Source organism: Homo sapiens, chromosome 13 (genome assembly GCF_000001405.40).
Source record: "Homo sapiens chromosome 13, GRCh38.p14 Primary Assembly".
NCBI classification, from domain to species: domain Eukaryota; kingdom Metazoa; phylum Chordata; class Mammalia; order Primates; family Hominidae; genus Homo; species Homo sapiens.
This window is the reverse complement of record NC_000013.11, coordinates 95847505-95873933: the sequence shown is the minus strand read 5'-3', so window position 1 is coordinate 95873933 and position 26429 is coordinate 95847505. Positions and strand designations below refer to the sequence as shown.

General features: G+C 35.1%; 1 protein-coding gene across 14 annotated transcripts in view; it reads left to right on the top strand.

The window, feature by feature from the left end:
* UGGT2 (UDP-glucose glycoprotein glucosyltransferase 2) overlaps positions 1–26429 on the top strand; it is a 251822-nt gene that overhangs the window by 179468 nt on the left and 45925 nt on the right. For all 14 annotated transcript variants that reach the window (XM_047430471.1, NM_020121.4, XM_011521097.2 and 11 more), the window contains 7 exons: positions 6511–6595; positions 10220–10305; positions 13051–13146; positions 14259–14343; positions 17594–17776; positions 19459–19619; positions 20277–20391. In XM_047430471.1, the coding sequence (XP_047286427.1) occupies positions 6511–6595; positions 10220–10305; positions 13051–13146; positions 14259–14343; positions 17594–17776; positions 19459–19619; positions 20277–20391 (811 nt within the window). The remainder of the gene's footprint in view (positions 1–6510; positions 6596–10219; positions 10306–13050; positions 13147–14258; positions 14344–17593; positions 17777–19458; positions 19620–20276; positions 20392–26429) is intronic.

Sequence of the window (26429 nt, the reverse complement as noted above, 5' to 3'; positions counted from 1 at the left end):
TTCATAGTTGTCTGACCCCAGACCCAGTTTCCCTCACACAGGAAACTTGTTTATGCTGACAGATGTCCGTGTGGCTCTTGTCTGACCCATGTCCAGTTTATGTTTGCCTGATCATCGCGGTGACACTGGGAACCCAACATTGTGTTCTCCCCAGCATCCTCGAGAAAACCTGGTCTGGGATAGTCCCTGGCTCTTCCAATGGGGGGTGCAAATTTAATACACCACCACAAAAAGAAATAAGTTCAAAGATTTATCACTTACAGATCCTGGACAGGAAGGGCTCCATCTCTAGGTCACATCAGGCAAGAATGAAGAGGAGTCAGGCAGAGAGAAAGAGAGAGCATGCATGCAACTAGCAGTATATATAAGGGAATAGAGCATGGGTCACTTTTGGTCTGTTTGAAGGGAAGGCAGGACAACAGAAGCCCAGTTTGCTAGGCAGGAAGGGTACCTCTAAGTTCTTATCTTTGGCTACCAGCTGGACCCATTTGGGTATGTTCTAATGCCTATGCAGCAACCTATGCTACCTTGCTGTGTCATTCCCATTACAAATAGACAGTTCCTACCCTCCCAAAACTCATTCCAGTAGAAAAGATAGTCAAGAAAATGAGTGACTATTATATGTTCTAAGTGCTATAAAAGAGTGCTATGGTAGTGTAGAAAATGAGCAAAATAGGCTGTAACATTTATATTGACCCTTATAAAAGCCATGGTTTCAAGATATAATTTTAAGAAGCATTCATGCTTTGTTTCAGCTTTTTAAATTTTGTGCAAACTGCTTTGCCAGGAATTCAGCATTTCTATATCTGCCACTACCGTTTCATCATTATGTTTTGCAAAGGGAAAGCCCTGTATATGAATTGTGAGGCAAATCCCTTCTGTACCACCAACTATCCGTATGATCTTGTATAAGTTTCTTTGCTATTTGTAGTCTTTATTTCCTCATTACAAAAGGGAATAATCCTACCTCCCTTGTGGGGTTTTGCTAAGGACTAAATGGGAAAATCATTGTAGAATATTGAGTAAATGCCCATTTCCTCTCCACTTATCCCTTCTTTTACAAATACAGTTATACAATAGCACATGTATTATGTAAAACTAAAACTATACATGATTTAGATTCTATTTTATCTTCTTTACTATTATTTTCTATCATACACAGTTCATAAAGATGTTCTTGATGTTATATTTGAAGTACCACTAACATATTAGTGAAAATTGTTTTTTCTCATTCACAGACAACTTTTGGCAGTAGAAATAACTTACAAACTTGTTTGTATTACTTATAAACAATAAAACCATATACTTAGTCATAATTTAATTCTACATATGATTAATGTCACTAGCTATCCAAAATGCAAAAAAAATACATGTTACTGTGTAATAAAAAGTCTAACGAGGTCAATATAAAATATAACAAAAACTGATATTGTTTATCCTAATTTATGTTTTAATTGTAATTGATATTACCTTTATAATTAGGAAAAATATTCCTGAAACCTGCTAAAAATCTAAGCTAAAATAATATTGATATGAGTTTCTAAGTTCAGATTTTAAAGCCATGGCTAAATTATTTGATTTTTTAAAATTTGGCTTTCCACTTCTGAGGCATAATGCCCACAATGTGTACTTTCTGTGTCTGTCAATCTTTTTGTAGTCATTAACTGCAGATTATTTGTGTGTACTCAGTATTGGCTGTTACTTACCTTGAATACAAAAAGTCTCAAAATTATTCTCCTTTATTTCTTTGTAGTTCTACCAAAATTAGACAAATGCTGCTCAGATTTTCCTAATTAATTGTAGAGAATATTAGATACTTTATTTATGCACCTTTAATGCCAAATTATTGTGCTAGACTTCTCATTTGAAATCTTTAGAAAAATCTTTTCTGCCAAAGTAACACTTGTAATCAATTTTAGTTTGGTACCTTTGAGACTGAACTGTTTCTCCCATGTTTTTGTAGGAGGAAGGACAGAGATGTCAAACAAGGCTTTCCATTCTTTCTCCGCAGGTACTCGAGTTGGTCCACCGTAACTTTGCTGGCTCTGCAGTAGTTAAAACTCACTCTCTGCGGACTCTTAAAAGTTCTCTATTGCTGTACTTCACTCTCCTTTAGTTCCCTGGTTATGTTGGTGTGGTCTCCTCATACCTCCTGGTTGCCATATTGGCAGGACACATGACTACCCAGTGGTAACAACAAAACCAAATCGCTCTCCTTCTTGGCTGCATCTGATCTGTGGAAATACCTAGACATCAGTTGCCCAACAAACTCTAGTTCAGAGCAGTTGCAGAGGCAGTAAGCACTCTCCTGACTCCTCGATTAGAGCAACAAAACAGTCCTCAAATACCCAATCCTGCTCCATGTACACTTCTAACTTTCCCAGACATGAGTCCTCTGTGCATCCCAACTTCAGAATATGTGTTGCAAAGTGTCTTCTCCTTAAAGTGTCTACCTTACTGAGTTTAGAATGAGAAGGCAATACTCTTCCCCTTCCGTCCTCACAGGGTGTAGTGGTGGAGACTCACAATCTGACAACAGCTCTCTGTAAGGAAACTCTTCTGCCTTCATCTCACACAATCCCTTTTCTGAACATTTTTATATGCTTTATCTCTCTGAGGGGCAATCTGCATATTGTGAGGGTATTGAGAATGGATGACTATGCATACTCACTTCGGTGTCTGGTAGCTATCTCATTGGTGTTTCAGTGGAAGCATTCTAGCATCCTTTTACCCCTACCCCCAATATTCTGTTTAGTTCTTTACTTTCATATTACCATTAGTTAAATATAAATTTTAATGAATTCACTATTGATCACAGTTTTTATATGTCTTTTAATTTTCACATTCATTTTTTGTTTAGATGGTGTCTTAGGCCATTTTTTGCTGCTGTAACAGAATACCTGTGACTGAGCAAATTTATTGGTTCATAGTTCTGGAAGGTTGGAAAGATTGAGGGACAGCATCTGGCAGAAGCCTTCTTGCTGCATTGCCCTATGGCAGAAGGCAGAAGGACAAGAGAGAGCAAGAGAGGGCCAAACTTGCCCTTTTGTGGTAGCACCACTTCCACTCAATGAGGGTGGAGCCTCATCACCTATAATCACCTATTAAGGGTCCCACCTCTTAATACTGCCACAATGGCAATACAATTTCAACATGAGTTTTGGAGGGGAGGGACATTCAAATCGTAGCAGATGGCTGACTTCCCATATTATCATAGAAGTATTTAACACAAGCAATTGGATGCTTTTACATCGTATTGGGAAGGACTGGCGGAGCAAGCTCTCCAGGAGGGCTGGATCCTAGGAATGCTTGAGAACAAAGCCAAGGAACTGACCAACCAGAAAGAGCTGCTACTTTCCCATCATCAGAAGTGAGAGAAAGCTAGAAGCTGCTGCCAGCAACACATCAACTGGCCTTTGGTACCCAGAAAGCTAAGCAGTTACACACTGGAACACTGAAGTAGAAAACCTCAATGTCTCCATGACGGTGCTTGACAAAAGAAGCTAGGCAGGCATCAGCACATTGCCCCGCTCACTTCTAAGTTCCAAATAACATGCAAATGTATCTATCTGTTTAGCAGAATCTAATTATCAACCAAAACCTTAGCTGCAAAAGAGTTGAGTAACAACAACAACAAAAATGGGTGTATCTTTCTAACTACTGCAGTGTATGCTAAAGGTGGGATGTTGCCTGCCATATCATAATATACACCACCTTACCACAAATAAGTTTTTTCAGAGACATTAGTGGTGTACCCTCAAATGTTTAAAACTTTGAGGTGGTCCTCAAAGGTTTAAAAATTTCTTTTGCAGTTCCGTATGAATTATAACTTTCCTAAGTATTGAATAACAGCATTATAATTTTATTCAGAATGCTTGAAACAAGGCTTCATCATTGTTTCTTACCAGTTAGTGTTTTGGATGAAAAATATGAAGCCAATCTGATTTACATTTCTTCTCTGAAAATATAAATTGTTTTTTAGAATTTCAGGAGACACATGTATAAGTGCTTTTTTTAATTAATCATGCTTTCTGACACACAGTGAATTCTTTCATTTTGAAGTAAATGGCATTTACTGAGATTCAGTATTCTCTTGAATCTCATTGAGAATATGAATTATTTGAATGCTTCCCTTTTTTCTGCATTAATGCCTTATCAATGAAGTCCATTTCCTCTGACTGCTTAGCTTGTTCCCTTCATTTAAGCTGCACATTTTCCTCATGTATCCAGAGGTTTCAGGTGCTTAGCATTGTTGGTAAAGGTCTGATAGTACAGTGGTGAAGAGCCAGACTATCTAGACTCAATTTGGATCTAGGATAATAATTGTACTTTCCTCAAAGGATGGTTGTATGGATTAAGTGAGTGAGCATCTATGAAGTGCTTAAAACAGTGCCTGAGGATGTGGAGAAATAGGAACACTTTTACACTGTTGGTGGGACTGTAAACTAGTTCAACCATTGTGGAAGTCAGTGTGGTGATTCCTGAGGGATCTAGAACTAGAAATACCGTTTGACCCAGTCATCCCATTACTGGGTATATACCCAAAGGATTATAAGACATGCTGCTATAAAGACACATGCACACGTATGTTTATTGCGGCACTATTCACAATAGCGAAGACTTGGAACCAACCCAAATGTCCAACAATGATAGACTGGATTAAGAAAATGTGGCACATATACACCATGGAATACTATGCAGCCATAAAAAATGATGAGTTCATGTCCTTTGTAGGGACATGGATGAAGCTGGAAACCATCATTCTCAGCAAACTATCGCAAGGACAAAAAAACCAAACACCGCCATGTTCTCACTCATAGGTGGAAATTGAACAATGAGAACACATGGACACAGGAAGGGGAACATCACACACTGGGGCCTGTTGTGGGGTGAGGGGAGGGGGGAGGGATAGCATTAGGAGATATACCTAATGTTAAATGAAGAGTTAATGGGTGCAGCACACCAACATGGCACATGTATACATATGTAACAAACCTGCACATTGTGCACATGTACCCTAAAACTTAAAGTATAATAAATAAAAAAAAAACAGTGCCTGAAGTAAAATGAGAGCTCGTCACCATTACTACCTCTGCTACCTGATGGAAGTGGAAAGAGATTTGCTTTCGAATTTGTCTAGGTCTAGCTGTAGTGCTCTGCTAGCTGGCTTTTATACTCTGGGTCTCAGTGGACAGGGAATTAAATGGCTAAAGTTGTCAATGCCCTTAAGTAGTGTTTTGTGACTATAAGCAGCTGAAAGTTTTTAAGAAATTTGACAATGTTTCTACCATACAGGTTAGATCCTTTTTGTTTTGTTTTGTTTTGTTTTGTTTTGTGACAGGGTCTCTCTTGCCCAGACGGAAGTGCAATAGCACAATCACGGCTCACAGGTCACTGGAGCCTCAATCTGCCAGTTTCAAGCAATCGTCCTACTTCAGCCTCCTGACTAGCTGGGACCACAGCGCTGGCCACCACATCCAGCTAATTTAAAAAAAAATTTTTTGCAGAGACGAGGTCTCACTGTTGCCCAGGCTGGTCTCAAACTCCTAGACTCAAGCGATTCTCCCACCCCAGCCTCCCAAAGTGCTGGGGTCACAGGTGTAAGCCATCACACCTGGCTTCTTTCTGTTTTCTAGTGGTGATTGTTGGACAGAGTTCTGCCTGCTACATTGGTTTAACCACCTCAGCTCAGGAATTGGGAGTAAGAGAAAGTCAAAGACGTGTCAGTCATGATAGTGCTAGACTCCCCAGGTGTTCATTTTGGAAAAATGTTAAAAGTATGTATTATATATAACAACTCAAAAGTAACTATACTAATTTGACATCTGATTGCTTCCCCTTCAACAAAATTCAACTTTATTGTAAATATGATAGAACTTTTTAGTCCATAGTGAGAATAGTTTGAAAAAATAATTACGGAGCACAGTTGCCATATTTGTTTAAGCAATTTTGAAAATGGGAGAAAAAAACTGCATTATACATAATACAAAATGGAAACATTCAGGTGATGCAGATGGACATCATAGACACATTTTCAGTCTCATTATTTTAACAATGTACTTCAAATTTTGGCATTTGAAAATGGCTGGTGGATATTAAAAAGTTGGATAGTGTAGAACTCCTTTGAAATATAAACAACTTTGAAGTGTAAAAAATTGTAATTATCACTACAATATATCAGGGATGTGAAAGATTTTAGTTGTGTGATAGCCTTGGTATATAACAGCAAAGATAAGCCATAATTTGAACTTTCAGAGTGATTGGGTAGTATTGAATTTAATGAGTTACTTTTGTACAATTTTAATGTGTACTGAGTTAAAATTTATTGGATAATTTTGAAAATTACAGCATATTATAGTATATCTTAATTGACTATAGAAACAGAAAAACATGATATATGCACTAGTGTTATTGGACTTACGTTTATTGCAAAATGAGTTTATTCTGTTATGCCATCATAATTGTATGTCTATTCTTAAATTAATTATGGACACATTTTTCTACTTTTAGGCATGAAGGAACTGACTCTCAAGCAGACCTAGAAGATATCATTGTTGTATTAAACAGCTTCAAAAGCAAGATACTCAAAGTAAAAGTATGTGGGGGCAGAACTTTTTATAGGCTTTGTTCTTAATATTAAGAATTATCTTCTTTGTTTTTTAATTAATTGATTTATTTTACAATTAACTTTACAATTTTACAACCTAAAATGTTATATTTGAACTCCAGCAGTAAAAAAAGAAGAGGATTAAGTTCACAAAGGAAAACAGAACTTGAAGATAGAAGAGAAGGATTTTTTTTTACATTATGATAACTGTAAATATATCTACTAAATCTATCTGTAGCCAAATAACATTACAAATTGGACTCTAGAGATGAGATCAAGAACATGCACTGAAAAATTAGCTCTAAAAAGAGAAGGTGCTGTTTTTTAAATTGGGAGAGAAAGGGAGTTTTTAATGATAGCAGATTCTTTTTGGACCAACCCTCCTGCTTAAAACTAGTGAAAATATTAGATAAAAATTTAAAAAAATTTTAAAAGCAATGAGGAACGGAGAATAATAAGATAATAAGGATAATAAGGAAACCCAAAACCAAAATTAAAGGGAAAATGCGAGCCTAGTGAAATAAGCAAGCACAGAAACTTCTCTTGACCCAAGGAAGCTACTATTGTCCTGGGAACATTTTTCTGTCCTGTCACACTTTTAACTGCCATTTTTATTTAATTTGATGGGTTAGGGGACAAAAATTAGAACCCAGGACCCACATAAAATAATCTATTAGAAGACCCTCTACAATAAACTAGCTCTATTTTCAGGCTAAGGATGAAACATAAAAAATTATTCCTCATAGTCTTTTAGCCCAAATTTGTGTCAGCCAAGTAGGCCAGGGAATCCTGAACCTTGAATTGGTACTAATATTCTTCCAGATGGATAGGATATAGCGGTATCTGGAAGAGACATCCATAAATCTCTGGAATAAGATTACAATAGCCTAAGCTGCAAATCAAATTTTTCTAGTATGAAGGCCAACTCATAGTCAAAGTTAACCAAATACACAAAACCAGCAGAAACAGAAAACTGATACACAAAGACCCAAGATATTAAAATTATTAGAATAGCCTCTGAAATAGCTGTACTTTTTTTAAAGAAATTAAAGATGAGTTTAAAAATAATTGCTGGGAACATGAAACTGTAAAACATGCATATCAGATTTTTTTAAAGTAGAACTTTGGAAACTGAGTAATACAATACCAAAATTAATAGTAGATAGCTTTAACATGCCTTCAGAGAAAATTAGCAAGTTGGGGGAGATAGGCCAGAAAAAGTATACCAAATGCAATAGAGACAGGAAAAAAAGAAAATATAGAAGAGAGCATTAACACACACACACACACACACGCTAGTGTGAAAGTCTAAGATTACCAGCAGTGGATTTAAAACTGGCTTTGCCACTCACTAGCTGTGTGACCTTGGACGGATTACTTAATCTCTTTCTGTCTCATTTCCTCATCTGTAAAATGGGGTTAACAATAGAATATACCTTACAGGACTGTTATGAAGATAAGATAAAGCACTTTATGAGTATTTGTTGGATAAATAAAAGTAAACTAAATGGAATTTCAAAGATAATTAAAGAATGGGGTACAAGTAACATTTGAAGCAATAATGGCTAAGAATTTTTATGAATTATGAAAGAAACCAATTAGAAATATTCTACAGCCTACCCATACCCTAGGTATTTCAGTAGTTTGTTTTTGTTTTTGTTTTGAGATGTAGTCTCGCTCTGTTGCTCACTCTGGAGTTCAGTGGCCCGATCTTGGCTCACTGCAGCCTCCGTCTCCTAAGGTCAAGTGATCTTTCTGCCTCAGCCCCCTGAGTAACTGGGACCACAGGCATGTGCTACCATGCCTGGCTAATTTTTATGTTTGTGTGTATTTTTTGTATTTTTAGTAGAGGTGGGGTTTCACTGTGTTGGTCAGGCTGGTCTTAAATTCTTGACCTCAAGTGATCCACCCGCCTTGGCCTCCCAGAGTGCTGGGATTACAGGCATGAGCCACCATGCTCGGCCGCCTTCAGTTTGTTTTCTAATAACACAGTTTTATCTCCTAACCACCTCTTTCTCAGAATTACAGTAAAAAGATAGAAAAACAGGGAGGAGAAAAGATAAGCAACATAGAGGATCAGCCCATGAAATCCAATAGCCTATTAAGAGGAATTCCAGAAACAACAGAGAAGATGGAGGAGGGAAAGTGTTGTAAAGCTGAGAGAGAAAAATGTTCATGTCAAAAGAGTCCACAAATTACGAAGTAGAATGAATGAAAATGGCCCATATAAGATTATAATAGCTACTAAGAAGGAAAAGTGGGTCACTGCAATAGAATGACAACACTAACATCAGAATTTCATTTTCAAAATACTTAGATGTTAAAAGACAGCAAAACAAAGCTTTCAGTATTTTGAGGAAAATTATTTTGAACCCAAGATTCTGTATCTAGCCAAATTCTTAATCAAATGTGAAGGTAAAATGTTAGTTTCTGAAGTGTGAAGATTTAGAAAAATTATTTTTCATACCCTTTCTTGGAGATGTTTGCCAGTACAATGAAGATCAAGATCAAGAAAGAAGATAGGTAGTTCAAGAAATGGTGAAACTAATCTGTAAACCAATGTAAAGAAAATCTAGAAAGAAACAGTTAATTGTTGAACTTTAAGAAAAATGTCTTCAGGTAGACAAGAATCCTAGACAATTAGATAACATGAGTAATAAACTGGAAAAGATTATGTCTGTGATAAAGAAGACATATTTGTATATCTCCCCACAAGAAAAAAGAAGGACAATGGAATTCCAGGAAAAAATAGTTCTCTGCTGGTGGAATGTAAGAAAGGAGAATTCATCTAACCCAGCAAGAGTCTCCTAGGAGTGGCACAGTGGCCATAGGAGGAAACTATAACTATGCTGTACTATGCTAAAACTATAACTGTACAGAGGAAATAGAGTTTTAGTAGCTTTTCCGACTCTTCAGTGGTTAATCTTTACATTGTCATAATGAAAACTTTTTACTGATTTTCAAGTTTTAGAATCACCATAGCAAAATGCAACAATTATGTCTACTGAACTAAATGTAAATGTTATCAATATTTACAAATGCTAAAGTCAAGGTTTAATATAAGTTGGGAGGTAGAAGGAAATCATAGAAATAGTAGTGTCCTTATAAACAGATTATACAAGAGAAACTGTTGGGATTGTGGGAATAAAAAAATAAGAGATTTAAATATTATTTAAAGTGACAAAAAATACTCAATAGAAGAACCGAAGATAAACACATTACTACCAAAATTTCCAGACAAATAGGGAAAGGGAAGGGATAACGATAAGTGAGCTATTCATCTGTCATCACAAAGAGTGTATAATGTCTAAACTCTGAATTCAGAAATACTAGTAGATAATGCCTAAAGCTGATAAATTAGTAAACACAAGGGTAAGCACATTATTTAGCAATATGGAGGTAACCACTGAAGAAACTGAACAAAGAGGTTGAATTGATAGTTAAAGACCAGATTGTTTACAACATTGTGCTAAGATATTGCCTGTCTTTGGTTACTGCAACTGTCAATCTTAGATTTCTATGGGTAATCTCGCCCAATATGTTTCACTTTCTAACCATACAGCACAATATTTAAAGCAGCCAAATTCTAATCTTTTTTGCCATGCTATCTAGGTGAAAAAAGAAACAGACAAAATTAAGGAAGATATCCTTACCGATGAAGATGAAAAAACAAAAGGACTGTGGGATTCCATTAAAAGGTAATTACTAATGAATATTTTAATACATCACTAGATTGATCCAGAAGTCTAGTATGTGGAAGTTCCACAGGTAGTGAAAATTTAAGTAAGGCAAAGGTCCTCTAATCTAGGAGGGATAAGATAAATACATAAATGTTACTACTGTGTACAAGATAGGAAACTAGAGCTATAAGACAGATGAAAATAAAATACTATACAAACCAATGGAGAAAAATTATATATCCACTTACAAGGAACCTTGGGAAATACTCCTTGAAGAAGTGTGTGGCAAAGATCTGTTTTAAAGGACAGACAGGATTTCAAAAGTTAAAGATTGAGTGAAGGCAATTACATGAAGACAAAATGATTGGGTATGTTCCTCAAAGAAAAGAAAGTAGCCTAGCTAGCTGCAACTTGAAAATAAAAGGGACTGTTTATGTTAGATTGATACCTATACTGTTTTATTGTTAGTTTAAAAAGGAACACAGGCCAGGCATGGTGGCTCACACCTGTAATCCTAGCACTTTGAGAGGTGATGGCAGGAGGATTGCTTGAGCCCAGGAGTTCAAAACTAGCCTGGGCAACATAGTGAGACCCTGTATCTACAAAAAATTTAAAAATTAGCCTGTTGTGATGGCATGTATCTGTAGTTCCAGTTACTCAGAAGACTGAGGTGGGAGGATTGCTTGAGTCTGGGAGGTCAAAGCTGCAGTAAGTCAAGATTGCAACGCTGCACTCCAGCCTGGGTGACAGAGTGAGACCCTGTCTCGAAAAAGAAACATACATAAGGAATATATTGTCTCAGATATCTAAAGAATCCAGGAGTACACCTGGTGTTGGCCACTGGGTGATGTGGTGTGGAAACAATCTTTCTCCATCTCTTAGGTCTACTGTTTTCTGTGTCTCCTCCATTTTAAGATAGACTTTTGTAAGTAAAAGTTTACTGTTTCCAGTGGAAGGAAGTTGCCTCTTTCCAAACAGTACCAATAAAAGTTCCAAGGCTGACTCATGGGTCCAACTATAGCTGTGTGTCCCAAACTGAACTGATTTCTGTGACTCTGATAACCCAGCATGAGTCATATACCTACTTCTAGAACTGGTGGGAAGCCCTGTCCCACCTAAACCTCATAGAATGAGATGGGAGGAGGAATGATTCCCCCCAAAATACCAGGTTGTTACTAGAAGGGGAACAGATGTTAGGTGAGCAAAAACAAAAGCTGTCTCCTGTAGATGCACATTGTAAAGAACTTTGAATGTCCATTTTAGAGATTTGAACCCAATGTGAGCTATGATGGAAAACCATTAATCATTTTGATCAAAGATAAGAAATAGAAATGTTAGCCCAAATAGATTCAACAACTTAAATATATTTGGTTATAGTAGTCAAAAGCACTTCTATCATTTTGGATTTTGCCCAGTTTAAGCCTCTTTTTCTATAGTTGACTCCTTGTTTGGTAAGAAAAATCATGTTACTGTACAGTGTGTGCTTTGAACAAGTTACTGATAGAGAAAGGATCAAGTCCACTCATTGAGATGATTTGGAGGGTAGGTATGTTTGACAGGGGATAATGAAATAGAATCTGAGCAATTTTAAGAGTGTCTTACTAAAAGCTTCCATTAAAGTTAGAAGGTATAGATAAGAATGATTAAGGATAACTGTTCAATTATGGTATAGCCACTTGCTATATTAAAAGGATACCAAAAACAAAATGCTTTGTTAGAAACGGAGATGGTAAGTTTTTGGGACGTTAACTGCTCCAGATACGTAGTGTTGTGTGTCTTATGATGCTTTGACTTTTTTCATCTTAGTTTTAGTCCTAACTTAGAATGATTATTTTTTCTTGCCACTGAATCAACTTCTTTTCTTATTTGGGAGATTACAAGATTTGAAAAATACTTCTGTCATAACAATTTATATTTTGCAAAATAACTTTGATGGTGATTTAAGTTGTTTACCCAATTTTATTCATTCTAAATATCTGTTTATATAAAAGTATTTTGAAATAAATGTTTAGGAAGAAAAAGATGAATTTATACATTATGAATACTGTAAATAGAAGATTCAGTCATTTTTATATATGAAATGGGCCTATACAAAAATGAAATGGAGTTGGTCTAGCTCCAAAAATGTAATGAAAATGACAGCTGGGCCCAGATGACGCTACCATGATGTAAACCAGTAAGTAGACATGGTTCCCTAGTGCTTTCTTTGTCATGGAAGTCATCCAGAGTACCAAGAGCATACTCCATACCCTGCGTGGTGGAGAAAATCTGCTTGGTCAGAGGAGCTCCAAATTGTAGATGGTTTAAAAATATTTTAGCCTGGATGAGCCCCATCAGCAGCACTCACACACCTACCCTGTTACCACATAAATTCTTGCTGTGCCGTAGTTCCACACTTAAGCATTCTGTTCCTTCCCTCATTGACCTGTTTAAACTTTCAGTACACTAGATATGGCCATGTCAAGCTGTAATTCATTCTTTGTTCTGAAAACAACCTTTGGCAACTCACAAAAATTCAAAAATACCAGCCCATTCACCTAAAGACAATATAGTTATATTCCACATTACAAATTTAAAAAAAAACTCATAAAGCTTCAAATGATATTGTCAAATATTTTAATATTAGTTTGTAAATATTATAGAGTGTTTATAGCTTAACTATTTTGAAATACATTTCTATATTGATTGCTTATATTTACTATTTAGGCATACAATGTTTCCATATGTATGTTTAAGAAATGTCAATTACTTTTTTATTCCAAGTTTCACAGTAAGCTTGCATAAAGAAAACAAAAAGGAAAAAGATGTCCTAAACATTTTTTCAGTTGCTTCTGGTCATTTATATGAACGTTTTTTAAGGTAGGTATATTTTTTAACCTTATATTTTGAAAAAGAAATATTTACATGGTTCAAATTTCAAAAAAAAATAAAGGAATATACACTGGGAAAAAAAAAACTCCCACCTCTGTTTCCTTGATACTCAGTTCCTTTTCTCACAGGAAACCCATAATATTATTTTTATATCCTGCTAAGGAGATACATACACACACACACACGTAAATATATATGTGTATATTTATTTATTTATTTCAGTTGTTTAAGTCCTTTTACCCAAATAGTAAAGAACATACTACTTTACACCTTGCTTTTTTTTTTTACTTAAAATTATGAGGTAAGTATATATAAATATGAAATTTCATGAGTTTGGCTTGATTTGGAATATTGGTTTTCTTCAAGGCTAGCAAATAGACATTTTGGATAGGTAAGAATATATATATATAGATATACTCACAATATATATATTTACAGTACTTTATATATACAATATTTATATATATATAATTTACTATAGTAAATTATCCTTTTCCAGTGAAGAAAACCTTGTTTTATAAAAAGGAAGGGAATGAGGGGAGAAATGCATATTGCAAAGTACAAAAGGCTATTTTTAAACAGTTTATATAGAAAGGTCACAGAGAATAACTCAAAAATATTTGAATTGTAGCACTGATACGTTAAAATGGAACTTCAGATTCATTTGTATCCTTTCCATTTGGAGGTTTAGGTTAGCAAACCAAATGACCCATCCAGTGAATTTGTCAATATAGATAGATCATTCAGCTCTTCAGGGTTTGTAGACTTAATATTAATCACACAGTCATGGACAGCTGGGCCCAGGTGAAGCTACCATGATGTATATGTATTCATCCTTACACATTACATACTTGATAAACCATATTTTAGTTTATTTCTTCACATTTCATTGTGAAAACCTTCTAATTCATACCTTCAATTATTTAAAAGCCTTTAAAAGACCTATGTAACAAACCTGTATGTTCTGCACATGTATCCCAGAACTTAAAGTAAAATTTAAGAAATTAAAATTAAATTTTAAAAAACACTTCAAGGTTAAAAAATATATATGAGCTCCTGTTACTGTTAATGTATATTGGGTTTAATATTCTTTTATACAGAATTATGATGCTTTCTGTTTTGCGTAACACCAAAACACCAGTGAAATTCTGGTTGCTAAAAAATTATCTCTCACCGACATTTAAAGTAAGTACATAGCTTTTTTTGTAGAATGGTTAATGTTTGAATAGTAAATTATTTGTATCATTGTAAGTTTATATGATATTTCTCTTTTCAGAATAAGCTTTTTGAAAAAATGGTATTTAGTATTTTTATGTAGCTTAAGAAAAATTCTGTACAATTTTTATTTAGAGATGTTCAAAGGAGAGGACAGAAGACTGTATATTTTTAAGTAAAATCAAAATCAGAATGGCTAGTAGTTTTTCATGATAATGAGTAATTAAATACAATTTGGCAATGGAAAATATATACAGATTTTCAATTAAAAGAAATGGATTCTGTCATTTTTGCAAAGATAGGCAGAAACAGTAGTAGTATCAAGAAAATACAAAGACTATACCTATACCGTAGAAAATAGTTTTACAGTACTGAAACAAAAAAGCTCTTTCGTCTGTGTAGTGTATTGATTGCTGGGCACCATGATCTGAGGCATTTTATATTTAGAAGATTTCAGGTGATCAACAGCTATTACCCTTTACTCAGCCCTATACTCCTGCTACAAAGTATACTCTGTTTCTTCCTATTCTCCCTACAGCATAATCAAATTCCGTGAAATTTAGTGTCTCCGCAGCAATTTGGTGTCTCATTCAACAGCATTTCAAATGAGTTTGTTTTTTCTAGACCAAAAGCAGTGGGAAAACAGAAGTAAAACTAGCCAAGCATGCTTTTATTCCTTAATATTTCTAGGCATGATGCCAAGTGTTTAACTGACGTTATTCAATTGTTTTTCATAACAATCCCACATGATAAGAAAACCAAGATTCAAAAGTTACGTAACTAGCTTGCACAGTTGAGAGGTACCTGAGACCACTTTTAGATTCAATAACTTACTATAAGGATTTATATAACTCCAAAAAACAGCTGTGCTCACAGTTACAGTTTTTATAGCAAAAGGACACAAATAAAATCAGCAAAAGGAAGAGATGCTTAGGGTAGGGTCCGGGGAGACCAGACACAAAGTTAACAGTTGTCCTCTCCCAGTAGAATCCCGTTACAGTGGATAGCACTTATTTCTTCCAGCAACAGTGTGTGAGGGTACTCGTGGAGTATTGCCAACCAGGGAAGCTCATTCAAACTTTGTGGTACAGAGTTTTTATTGAGGGTCAGCTGTGTGGACTTGGCTAACGGCCTGCATGACTAACCTTAACCTCTAACCCCTTCAGATGTTGAACTGATGCTTTGTGGCCCAAGGTCCTCACTACAAATAACATCATTAGCATACAATATCTAGTGTGGTCCGAGATCTGCAGGTAAACGTAGACATTCTTATTAGTCAGGAAATTCCAAGGGTAGAGGATATTTCCTGGGAGATAGGGTGAAGGGCCAGGGTAGGGGATATTTCCTGGGAGATAGGGTGAAGGGCCATACTTTTCTTTGAGCAAGAATCATCCTTTATAGCATAGGCCTGATATGAAACAGCTAATTAGAAACACAGCTGAGATTTGAACCCAGGCATTCAGACCTCAGGTGCTTAACCTTATGTAACAGCCCATTTGCCCTCCACCACCAACAGTGTCTCCTCCTATGCTCATTTGACAGTAGGAAAAAAAAAAAAAAACAGAAAAAGAACCTATAAATATAGATAAGAAGTTATACTATTTTTCTACTAATTTTTTAACATGCTTTCCTAGTAGTCAGACACTGAATAAGGGAGTATTTAACCCAAATAAACTGAGATAGAAAAATCTAAAGATTCTCTTAGCAGGAAAAGATATTATTCACCAGAACAATAGTGCTATGTCTGGATTAGAAAGTCTTGTTCCACTGCATGGCCAAAAGAAATACTGTATCTGAAGTAGTATTTTCCTTCTTTTTGTGATGTGTTTCTTTCATTCAAAATTTTTCTTTTGAAAACTTCTTAGTGAAATATAACATATACTCAGAAAAGTGCACAAATCATGAAATTTAGCTTTGGATTTTTACAAACTCAAACATCTGTGTAAATCAGCAGCCAGATACAGAAGCCGCTAGCTACTTTAGATTTGTTCCTACCAGTTTAGAAAAGTCAAACCTCCTCTCTTCATTCAAATATTTGCTAAAATTATACATACTTACACATAATTATTTTCTGACAGCACTATACAAACTATAATTCCCTCTCCCTTTTAATTTTTCTTCATAGCACTTTTTTCTGTAGATAATAGTTTATTTCTACCTACTTCCTCTAAAATACAAGCCTCATGAAGGTCATAATTTGTATTTCTTTTGTTCACTAATGTACCCTTAGATCCTAGAACAGTGCCCGTTTCAGTGAATATTTGGACACATATTTAATGAAGAAAAAATATTCTTTTTATTTTATCTGAATGTTTTATTTTATTTTATTTTGAAACCAAAACAATGACTCCTGGCAGCTGTTGTACCCCTAATTTCAAGATTTCACAGATAAAATTGGTGCTTCTTGCATTTAAAAAAAAGTATTTTAAATCTACATTGTTCTTACAAAGTCAGAGAAAAAAATTAAACATATAACCAGAAACTAGTTTCAAGTAAGAATCAAGTGGTAAAACGCAAATTCTATATTTATTAATTCATCTTTTCCAATTCCTTTTTCATTTTCTCTCTCAGTATTTGAGCTCTTGAACTAAATTTAGCCCACAGTATATTTCATTAACTGCTTCTGCTTTAAACAGGGAATAAGCTACTTCTAAGCCTATAAGATACTCAAATATGAAATATTCAGACCATAATCACTACTTTGTATTTTTAATCCTTGAATTAAATAATGATATATCTCAAACATGAAGCTCCTGTATAGAATCTAATTTATCAGCTTAGAACTTATTTTGTGTTTTTTGTATCCTCTCTTCATCTTTACATCTCTGACCAACCAACCTGTTGACATATACATGAACTATTTGATATGTAGGTGTTCCAAGATCCAGAGGCTTTTTTTTAAGTCAGTTTTCTCAAGTCAGATGTTAACAATAAAAGTATGGGAACATTTATCTTCCATTAATAAGTTTGTTAAATAATATAGTGCACTTATTTTTAATGACGTTAAATTATATAGTTTTATTTATACTTGTGATTTCATATTTGTTAGCATTTTAATATTTCTCATTAATAAGTATGTTATAGAAGTAGTATTTAGACATCTTGCCTATTAGTTTATAACAATTTATAGGAAGCTTTACCTTTTTAATGTTATTTTTTTCTCTAAAACAAAACTACTTTCTCTTGAACATATTGTTTGATTTTGTGTGTGTGTTTTTAGGAAGTAATTCCTCACATGGCTAAAGAGTATGGATTCCGATATGAACTAGTTCAATATAGGTGGCCCCGTTGGCTTCGTCAACAGACTGAAAGACAGAGGATTATTTGGGGTTACAAAATTCTTTTCCTTGATGTTCTTTTCCCACTAGCAGTGGACAAAATCATTTTTGTTGATGCTGACCAGGTAATAAGGTTAACTACTATTTTTAGTAATACGCAAACATTTTTTACACTTCTATCTTAATATAGAGATTAATTCATGTTGCTCATGTTTATTATCTTCATTACGGTGCTTAAGATACGATTGTGATATATAAGCAAAGTATCTTTAAAAACAAAAAGTCAGAATTCCAGGGGAAAATTGAAGGTATTGTAAGAAGTACCATTTATTATTTAGGACATGGAAGTTTTCTCTCTAAAGTAGTAGTTTTTTACATTTGAGAACTAAAACAAATACTTATATTAGTCATAATAAGAGTAGTTAATGAATTCCTGTAAATTATGTGCTGATATTTGTTTAAAACTAGGAATTTCTTCTTGCTAGAAAAGCTAGCAGTTACATACAACTCTCATTCTTCCACCTTCAACAGCATTCTTTCGCATTCAACCAATAACCAAATTCTCATCACTCTATCTCTTAAGGAAAAGAGCATTTTAAATTTGGCCAGCTTATGCCTGTAGTCTCAGCACTTTTGGAGGCTGAGGTGGGGAGGAAAGTTTGAGCCCAGGAGTTAGAAGTCACAGTGAGATATAATCATGCCACTGCACTCCAGCCTGAGTGAAAGAGTGAGACCCTATCTCTAAAAATAAAAGCAAATAAATTTGGCCAAAAAAAAAAAAAAAACACCCAAGGCCCTCTGCTTTCAAAATTTATATGTCCAAAAATTATGACTTTTCCTTTTTCCCTCCTTGCATTGCTTTTGCATCATTAGTGGGAAAAAAAAATTGAAAATACACAGAATTTCTAAGAAAAAAGTAATATGTAAATGAAAATATAAAGTAAATGGATAAGTTAGAATTTATGTGGAACAAAAAGTATATTTCAATTTCTTTTAAGAGACAGGGTCTCACTCTGTCATCCAGGCTGGAGTGCAGTGGCACAGTCATAGCTTACTGTAGCCTCAGACTCCTGCATTCGAGCCATCCTCCCACCTCAGCATCCTAGGAGCTGGAACTCCAGGTGCACACCACCACGCCTGGCTAATTTTTTTTTTTTTTTTTTTTTTTTTTTTTTTACAGACAGGGTCTCACTGTGTTGCCCAGGCTGGTCTCAAACTTCTGGCCTCAAGCAATCCTCCCATCTGAGCCCCACACATAATATCTAATATGATTCTTTCTCCTACCTTTCTTTCAATGTGTGCACTAATATTTTTCTAGAAGGCTTGAGCATATTAAAAAATAACATTTATATTATTTTATTCAAGCTATTTAGAATAATTGGGAGATTTTTCTTTATGATTCAAACTTAACATTTGCCAATATACAATAATGGAGATTTGGCATGGAATGATTTTGTTATTCATACATTGAGAAACTAAGAGCTCTGCACTTACGTAATATTTAACCCCTTCCCCAAATGTCTGATTCGTAAAATGACTTGTTTATAAATGACATAACAAAATATTCTTGTTGGTGAGTAAGACCACTGTCTTAAAGACTAGGAATATAAATTTTAGTTTACCTTTAACCTGTAAGGACAAGAGGAATAAATGTTAAATTCAGTAAATTCATATTACATGAAAGCACTGTGAGGACAATACAGCTCTTTGGATTTCTGTAGTAGAGTAATAATGATTTGAGATTCCCATAAAAAAGGGCTTATGTTATTTTACAGTCTTTATCAGACAGTCTATTTTAATTATTTAGATTGTGAGACATGATCTAAAAGAACTTCGAGATTTCGATCTGGATGGAGCTCCTTATGGGTATACTCCATTTTGTGATAGCCGCAGGGAAATGGATGGATATCGTTTCTGGAAAACAGGATACTGGGCATCACATCTTTTAAGACGGAAATACCATATCAGGTAAGAAAAGTCAGACCCTTACCATTTAGTAAATAAGTAATGTATTGAATTGCAACTTTCAGTTTTCTTAAAAATTACACAGTTTTCTTAAAAATTACACAATAAAAGCAACCAATTACATAGTGTTCATTTCATGCCAGTCACTCTTGTAAGCCTTTACGTATATTAAGTCATAAAATCTTTATGACAATCTTTTGAGATACTGTTATTACCTCCATTTTGTAGATGTGGAAACTGAGGCATACAGCATTCATGTAATTTGCCCAGGCTTACCCTGCTAGTATATAACAGAGCTAAGAGTTAAACCCAAGTAATATGGCTCCTAACTACTCCAGAAGATTTAAACTTGGTTTGTGAAATAAAATTAAGATTATGTCTTCAAAGCCTCATGGCCTTTTGTAAGGCCATGAGTTTCATGACAACTTGGAAAATCTTGGGGTGACCCTAAAAGATTATGGGTTCTACCAAAATTAAAACAAACTTAAAACTCTTGGGAAACAGTATTAGATATTAGGAGCAAATTTATGAAAGGATTAATTGTTATTAGATCCTAGGATATCTGTAGTTAATACCGTCACTGTAGACACTCACTGGAGGAAAGTAAAACTAAAACTACATAAACAACATAGGCTATCAAGAAGTAATTCATTTTTGCAGTGCTTTATATGTAGTGGATCTCAAGAAGTTCAGGAGAATTGGAGCAGGTGACAGGCTCAGGAGCCAGTATCAAGCTCTCAGTCAAGATCCAAACAGTCTTTCAAACCTAGATCAGGTAAGTAAAATGTTAACAGAATAATTTTGAGTGTGTGTACATAGACTGTTCCAACTCCGTGCTCATAAACTTTAAAGTCTTATATTTTGAGTTTTTTCTCAATTTACTGCTGTTTATGTAATTATCTATTGGATATTTCTACTTATACATAATTTTTTCACCTCAAGCTCAACATTTTCAAAACTAATAGTATTTTATCCTCACTTTTCCATTCTCAAACCTCTACTTTCTACTTTATGCCCTGTTTTAGTTACCCTTTGTATTAGTCCGTTCTCACTGCTAATAAAGATATACCCAAGACTGGGTAATTTATAAAGGAAAGAGGTTTAATTGACTCACAGTTCTGCATGGCTGGGGAGGCCTCAGGAAACTTACAATCATGGCGGAAGGGGAAGCAAACACGTCCATCTTCACATGGTGGCAGGAGAGAGAATGAGTGCCCAGTGAAGGGGGAAGCCCCTCTTAAAACCATCAGATCTCATGAGAACCCACTCACTGTCAAGAGAACAGGATGGGGGAAACCACCCCCATGAGTCAATTACCTCTACCTGGTCCCTCCCACAACAGGTGGGGATTATGGGAATTACCATTTATGATGAGATTTAGGTGGGGACACAGCCAAACCATATCACCCTCTTTTTTCTTACTCTTTTCCATCATTGTGTAAACATGCTCAAGTCTCTCTCTCTCATCTTTAAGACAAACTCCCTTCATCCAGTGCACCCCCACCCTGATATTGCCTTAATATTTTCTTTCACCTCACAAGCACTATTTTCCTAATATCCTATCAATTTCCTCATTATTGCATCTGAAACATTTTAGATAATTTAAGCAGAAACAAAAGACTCTGTATTCTTTTAGCAGAAGCAAAAGACTCTTTTTTCTTATTTTTATCACAACCATGCATGTTCATTCATTCATCTGTTGAATACCTGCTATGTGCCAGATATTCTCCTAAGACTTCAGACATCAGAAAACAAAAACAAGATTTCTTTAGCTCATATTTTCATTCTAGTAGAAAAATTTTAAAAATAATATTTAAAGATAAATGTTTTGGAGAGAAAAACCATGAAAGCATGATAGAGAGTTCAGAATAGTGAATAGGGGCTGGGGCTTGCAGGTATAAATTGGGTGGCCATATGTCCCTATGAAGATGACTTTTGAGTAAATTTTAGATGGAGGCCTAAAAGCTGACACAGATGCAGGCCAAAGAGAGTATCTGATGCAAATGTCCCAAGGTGGGCATGGGCCTTCCATGTTTGAGGAATAGCAAGAAAGTCAGTATGGTTGGGATAAAGATGGGGGGAATAAAGTAAAAATGAAGGAAAAGAGTTAACAGAGGCTCCAGATAATGTAGAAAGCTTAGTCCCTTTGTTTAAAAATCTAGTAAGTGGGAAATTATATGTCAAAATATGAATGAGTTATTCAAGACCACACTGGTAAGGAGTTGATTTTTTTAATCATTCTTGAAAATTGGGAGATCTTCAAATATATATGTGTTTACAGACTAAATAGGGTCTCTTCACTATTGCCAGTTAGTAGAAAACTGACTTAGGGTCCTCAGTAACCCTCAATAACATGCCAGATTTCGATTATGAATACATTTTTGGTAATTCTTAATAATTTTACCAATGTATTTTTAAGGAATTCTTAGTCTTAAATATGAATGAAAGTCTATGAAGTTGCCTGTTATCTGCCTATGGACAACTGAAGAAAGGATTCATTTTTCAAGCAGTTCGGAAACTGTCCGAGGTGTTCTCCCAGTACTACATTACCACATTTTGGGGATGATTGTCCTTACTCAAATGTAGTTTGGCTCCCACTCCCTCCAATCCACTTAACACTTCTCAGTAAAATCAAAATATCTTTTTTCTTAGGTAAAAATGTGTAGTGAGCACTTCTTGTTTGTTTTTATGTGCCTCTTTGCAGCACGGATGTTTTCAACCTCTCCTTTCTTGACACTCTCTTGACTCTCTATTGGCTTCTATGTCAGACCTTGCTGGTTCTTCTTTGACATCCCTGGCTTTCCCACCACAATTTTGTTGGTGAACTACTTTTTCTCTACTTTTCCTTTAAATGTTGCTATTCTCTACATCTCTGCCTTGACCCACTTCTCACTCCATACCATCTCTAGCGGCAGTCTTGCAGCCAATCATGGTTTTAATTTATATCTTTCTGTTAATAGTTCCCAAATCTTATCTCTGTCTCTTAGCTTTCCCTTGAATTCCCAACTCCTATATTAACTCTACTGGCATTGCCACATTAATGACCAAAACTTACCTCAAATTAAAAAGTCAAGAACTCAAGTTCTGTTCCTCTTCCACCATTCCCTCCATCAGCAAATACCACTTAGCTGCCTGTTACAGGTTGGATTACTCAGGAAGCCACCTAATTCTAACATGGAAATTAGGAAGTTTATTAGGAAGTACTCTCAGGACCAACAACTGTGGAGGAAGGAAGGAAATGGAATTGGGGAAACTTTACAAATTCAATTAAGACCTCAGTTGACTGACCCCACAGGGAGCTCTGAAGCTGAGATGGTCCTTCATAGTTTTCACAGGTTTGGGCAAGTCTTTATTCCTTCATATCAACCAGTCATTGGATATGGGCTGCCCCAGGTAAGGGGGTGACCTTGGGTGAGACAACTCTTTTCCTGGTCTAATACAATGTTATATAGAATCCTTTGTCAGTAGATAACTATAAATCCTTGGATAATGGTGCTAAGTTTCTGTGAGCAAGAAAGGCAAACCCATACATAGAATATGTGTATAGGTCAGTCCAGAAGAATCTATATAAAGGACATCTACTGTAGCCAAATTACCATCAAACAGCTGATTGGTCTTTGCAAAGTATAAGTGCTATATTAGAAGCTCAGTGTTTACCTCTGCTGTTGGCAGCTCTAAGAGCTAGATGAGCCTGGGTAAGTAGGAGCTCATGCTGTTGGGCCCGTACACAGTCTCCATCTCTGCCAGCATGTCTACTCCATTCATGTGCCCATTGTGTCATTGGAGTAGCCTATGATCAAGGCTAGCAGACTTCCACAAACCACATAATTTTGACTGCCTAGTTATTTAGTGCTGATTCTGTGTTGAATGCTTTCTGGTGGCTGTTTAACATGAAGTATCCAAAGGTCCTAACAGTTTATGCCACTCCCATAGGCTCATCCAGAAGCCTCTACCCCAGAATTTCTTGCCCTTAATCCTCCTATTTTTCTATTTCTTGGCCTCTGACCAATTGGTCAAGCCATTCACCACTTCTTATGAATATACTCCAACTATAGACTACTTTTCTTTCTACATTCATGTACTTCATTATTCAGTTTGTACAGAAAGAAAGGTAGCCTATGGTTGGAATATATTCATAAGCAACTAAAATAGTTCTTAGAAATAAATTTATAGCACTAAGAACTTCCATTAGAAAAGAAAAAAGATCTCAACCTCATCTTCTACCTAGAAACTAGGGGAAAAAAACAGTTAAAACCAAAGTAAGGTCTTGGCTAATGCAATAAGACAAGAAAAGGAAATAAAAGGTATACAAATTGGGAAGGAAGAAATAAAACTGCCTTTGTTTGCAAATGCCTACTTAGACAATCCAAAAAAATGACCAAAAAAAAAAACAAAAAACAGTGTACCAATAAGGGATTATAGCAAGGTCAAAGGTTAATATATAATTAATATATAAAAGTATAAATTAATATATAAAAAATTAATATATAAAAGTTAGTCATTTTTACTACCTATCAGGTACTATGCTTACTACCTGGGTGACAAAATAATTTGCACACTAAACCCCCATGACATTCAATTTACCTATGTAGCAAACTTGTACATGTACCCCTGAACCAAAAATAAAAATTTAATTAACCTGGAGCAAAAGACTGAATCCAAAGTCTGTGGGCTTAGATCAGGTGTCTGAAATAAAGAATAAATATAATAAAAGAAAGTTATTTATAAAAAATTAAATGCTATTTTGCATAAGATACTTTTTTTTTTTTTTTTTTGAGACAGAGTCTCACTCTGTTGCCCAGGCCGGAGTGCAATGGCACTATCTTGGCTCACTGCAAGCTCCGCCTCCTGGGTTCACGCCATTCTCCTGCCTCAGCCTCCTGAGTAGCTGGGACTACAGGCGCTTGCCACCACGCCCAGCTAATTTTTTGTATTTTTGTATTTTAGTAGAGACTCGGTTTCACCATGTTAGCCAGGATGGTCTTGATCTCCTGAACTCGTGATCTGCCTGCCTTGGCCTCCCAAAGTGCTGGGATTACAGGCGTGAACCACTGTGCCTGGCCATAAGATAAATTTTTTTTAAGTATATTAAAATTATTCCCTTATGTTTATAATATACATTTTTAGGGTTGTATTTTCTTTTTAATAATATCATTTGTGTAGGGATCTTTGCACATTGCCTGATGTAGATTTAAGAATATAATCTATATGACAAAGAAAAAGTCATTTTTCTGTATTCCAACAATAAACAAGTGGAATTTAAAATTAAAAACACAGTATCATTTAAATTAGCACCAAAATAATATTTAAGTATAAATCTAGTAAATGTTTCTCTACATGAGGAAAACTGTAAAATTCTAATGAAAGAAATTCAAGAACACTGAAATACATGAAGAGGTATTCCCTGTTTATGGATAGGAAGACTAAATTGCTCAAGACTAAATTGATGAATTCTTCCCAGATCAATTTATAGATTCCACACAATTCCAATCAAAGTCCTAGCAAGTTGTTTTATGATTGTCAACCTACTGATTTTAAAGTTTATATAGAAAAGGAAAAGACCTAGAATAACCAACACCATATTGAAAAAGAAGAAAGTCAGAAGACTAGCAATACCAGACTTATTTCACTGTAAAGCTATAGTAATCAAGACAGTATGTTGGCAAAAGAATAGAAAAATAGATCAATGGAACAATAGAGAGCCCAGAAATAAATCCACATAAATATAGTCACCCAATCTTTGACAGAGGAACAAAGATAGAGCAGAGATAGTATTTTCAACAAATGTCACTGGAACAACTGAACATCTCATAAGAAAAAAATGAATCTAGACACAGATCTTACACCCTTCAGAAAAATTAGAATGGTTTATAGACTTGAATGTAAAACACAAAATGCAAAACTCCTGGAAGACAATATAGGAGAAAACCTAGATGGCCTTGGGTATGTCAATGACTTTTTAGATATAACACCAAAGTCATGATCCGTGAAGTAATAATTGATAAGCTGGACTTCACTGAAATTAAAAACTTCTGCTCTGCAAAAGACAATAACAAGAGAAAGAAAAGTTTTTTTGGCAAAAATATATTTGTAAAAGATGCATCTGATAAAGGAGTGTTATCCAAAAAAATGCAAAGAACTCTAAAGACTCAACAATCAGAAAACAAACCAAATTTAGAAATGGATCAAAGACCTTAACAGACACCTCACCAAAGAACATATACAGATGACATATAAGCATATGAGCAGATGCTCCACATCATATATCATCAGGGATACACAAATTAAACAACAGTAAGATAACACCACACACCTATTAGGAAGGCCAAAATCCAGAATACTGACAACACCAAAGGCTAGTGAAGATGTGGAGCAAGAGGAACTTGCGTTCATTGCTGAGAAGAGTACAAAATGGTATAGTCACTTTGGAAGACAATTTGACAGTTTCTTACAAAACTAAACAAACTCTTACCATACAATTTAGCCATTGTAATTTTTGGAATTTACTCAAAGGAGTTGAAAACTTATGGCTACATAAAAACCTGCACATAGATATTTATAACACCTTTATTTATAATTGCCAGAATATGCAGCCAACCAAGATGTCTTTTAGTAGGTGAATCAGTAAAGAAACGGGTACATCCAGACCATGGAATATTATTAAGAGTTAAAAAGAAATGAGCTATTAAGCCATGAAAAGACAAGGAAGAACTTTAAATGTATAATAACTAAGTGAAAGAAGCCAATCTGAAAAGATTACATACTGTATTATTCTAACTATATGACATTCTGGAAAAAAGCAAAACTATGGAG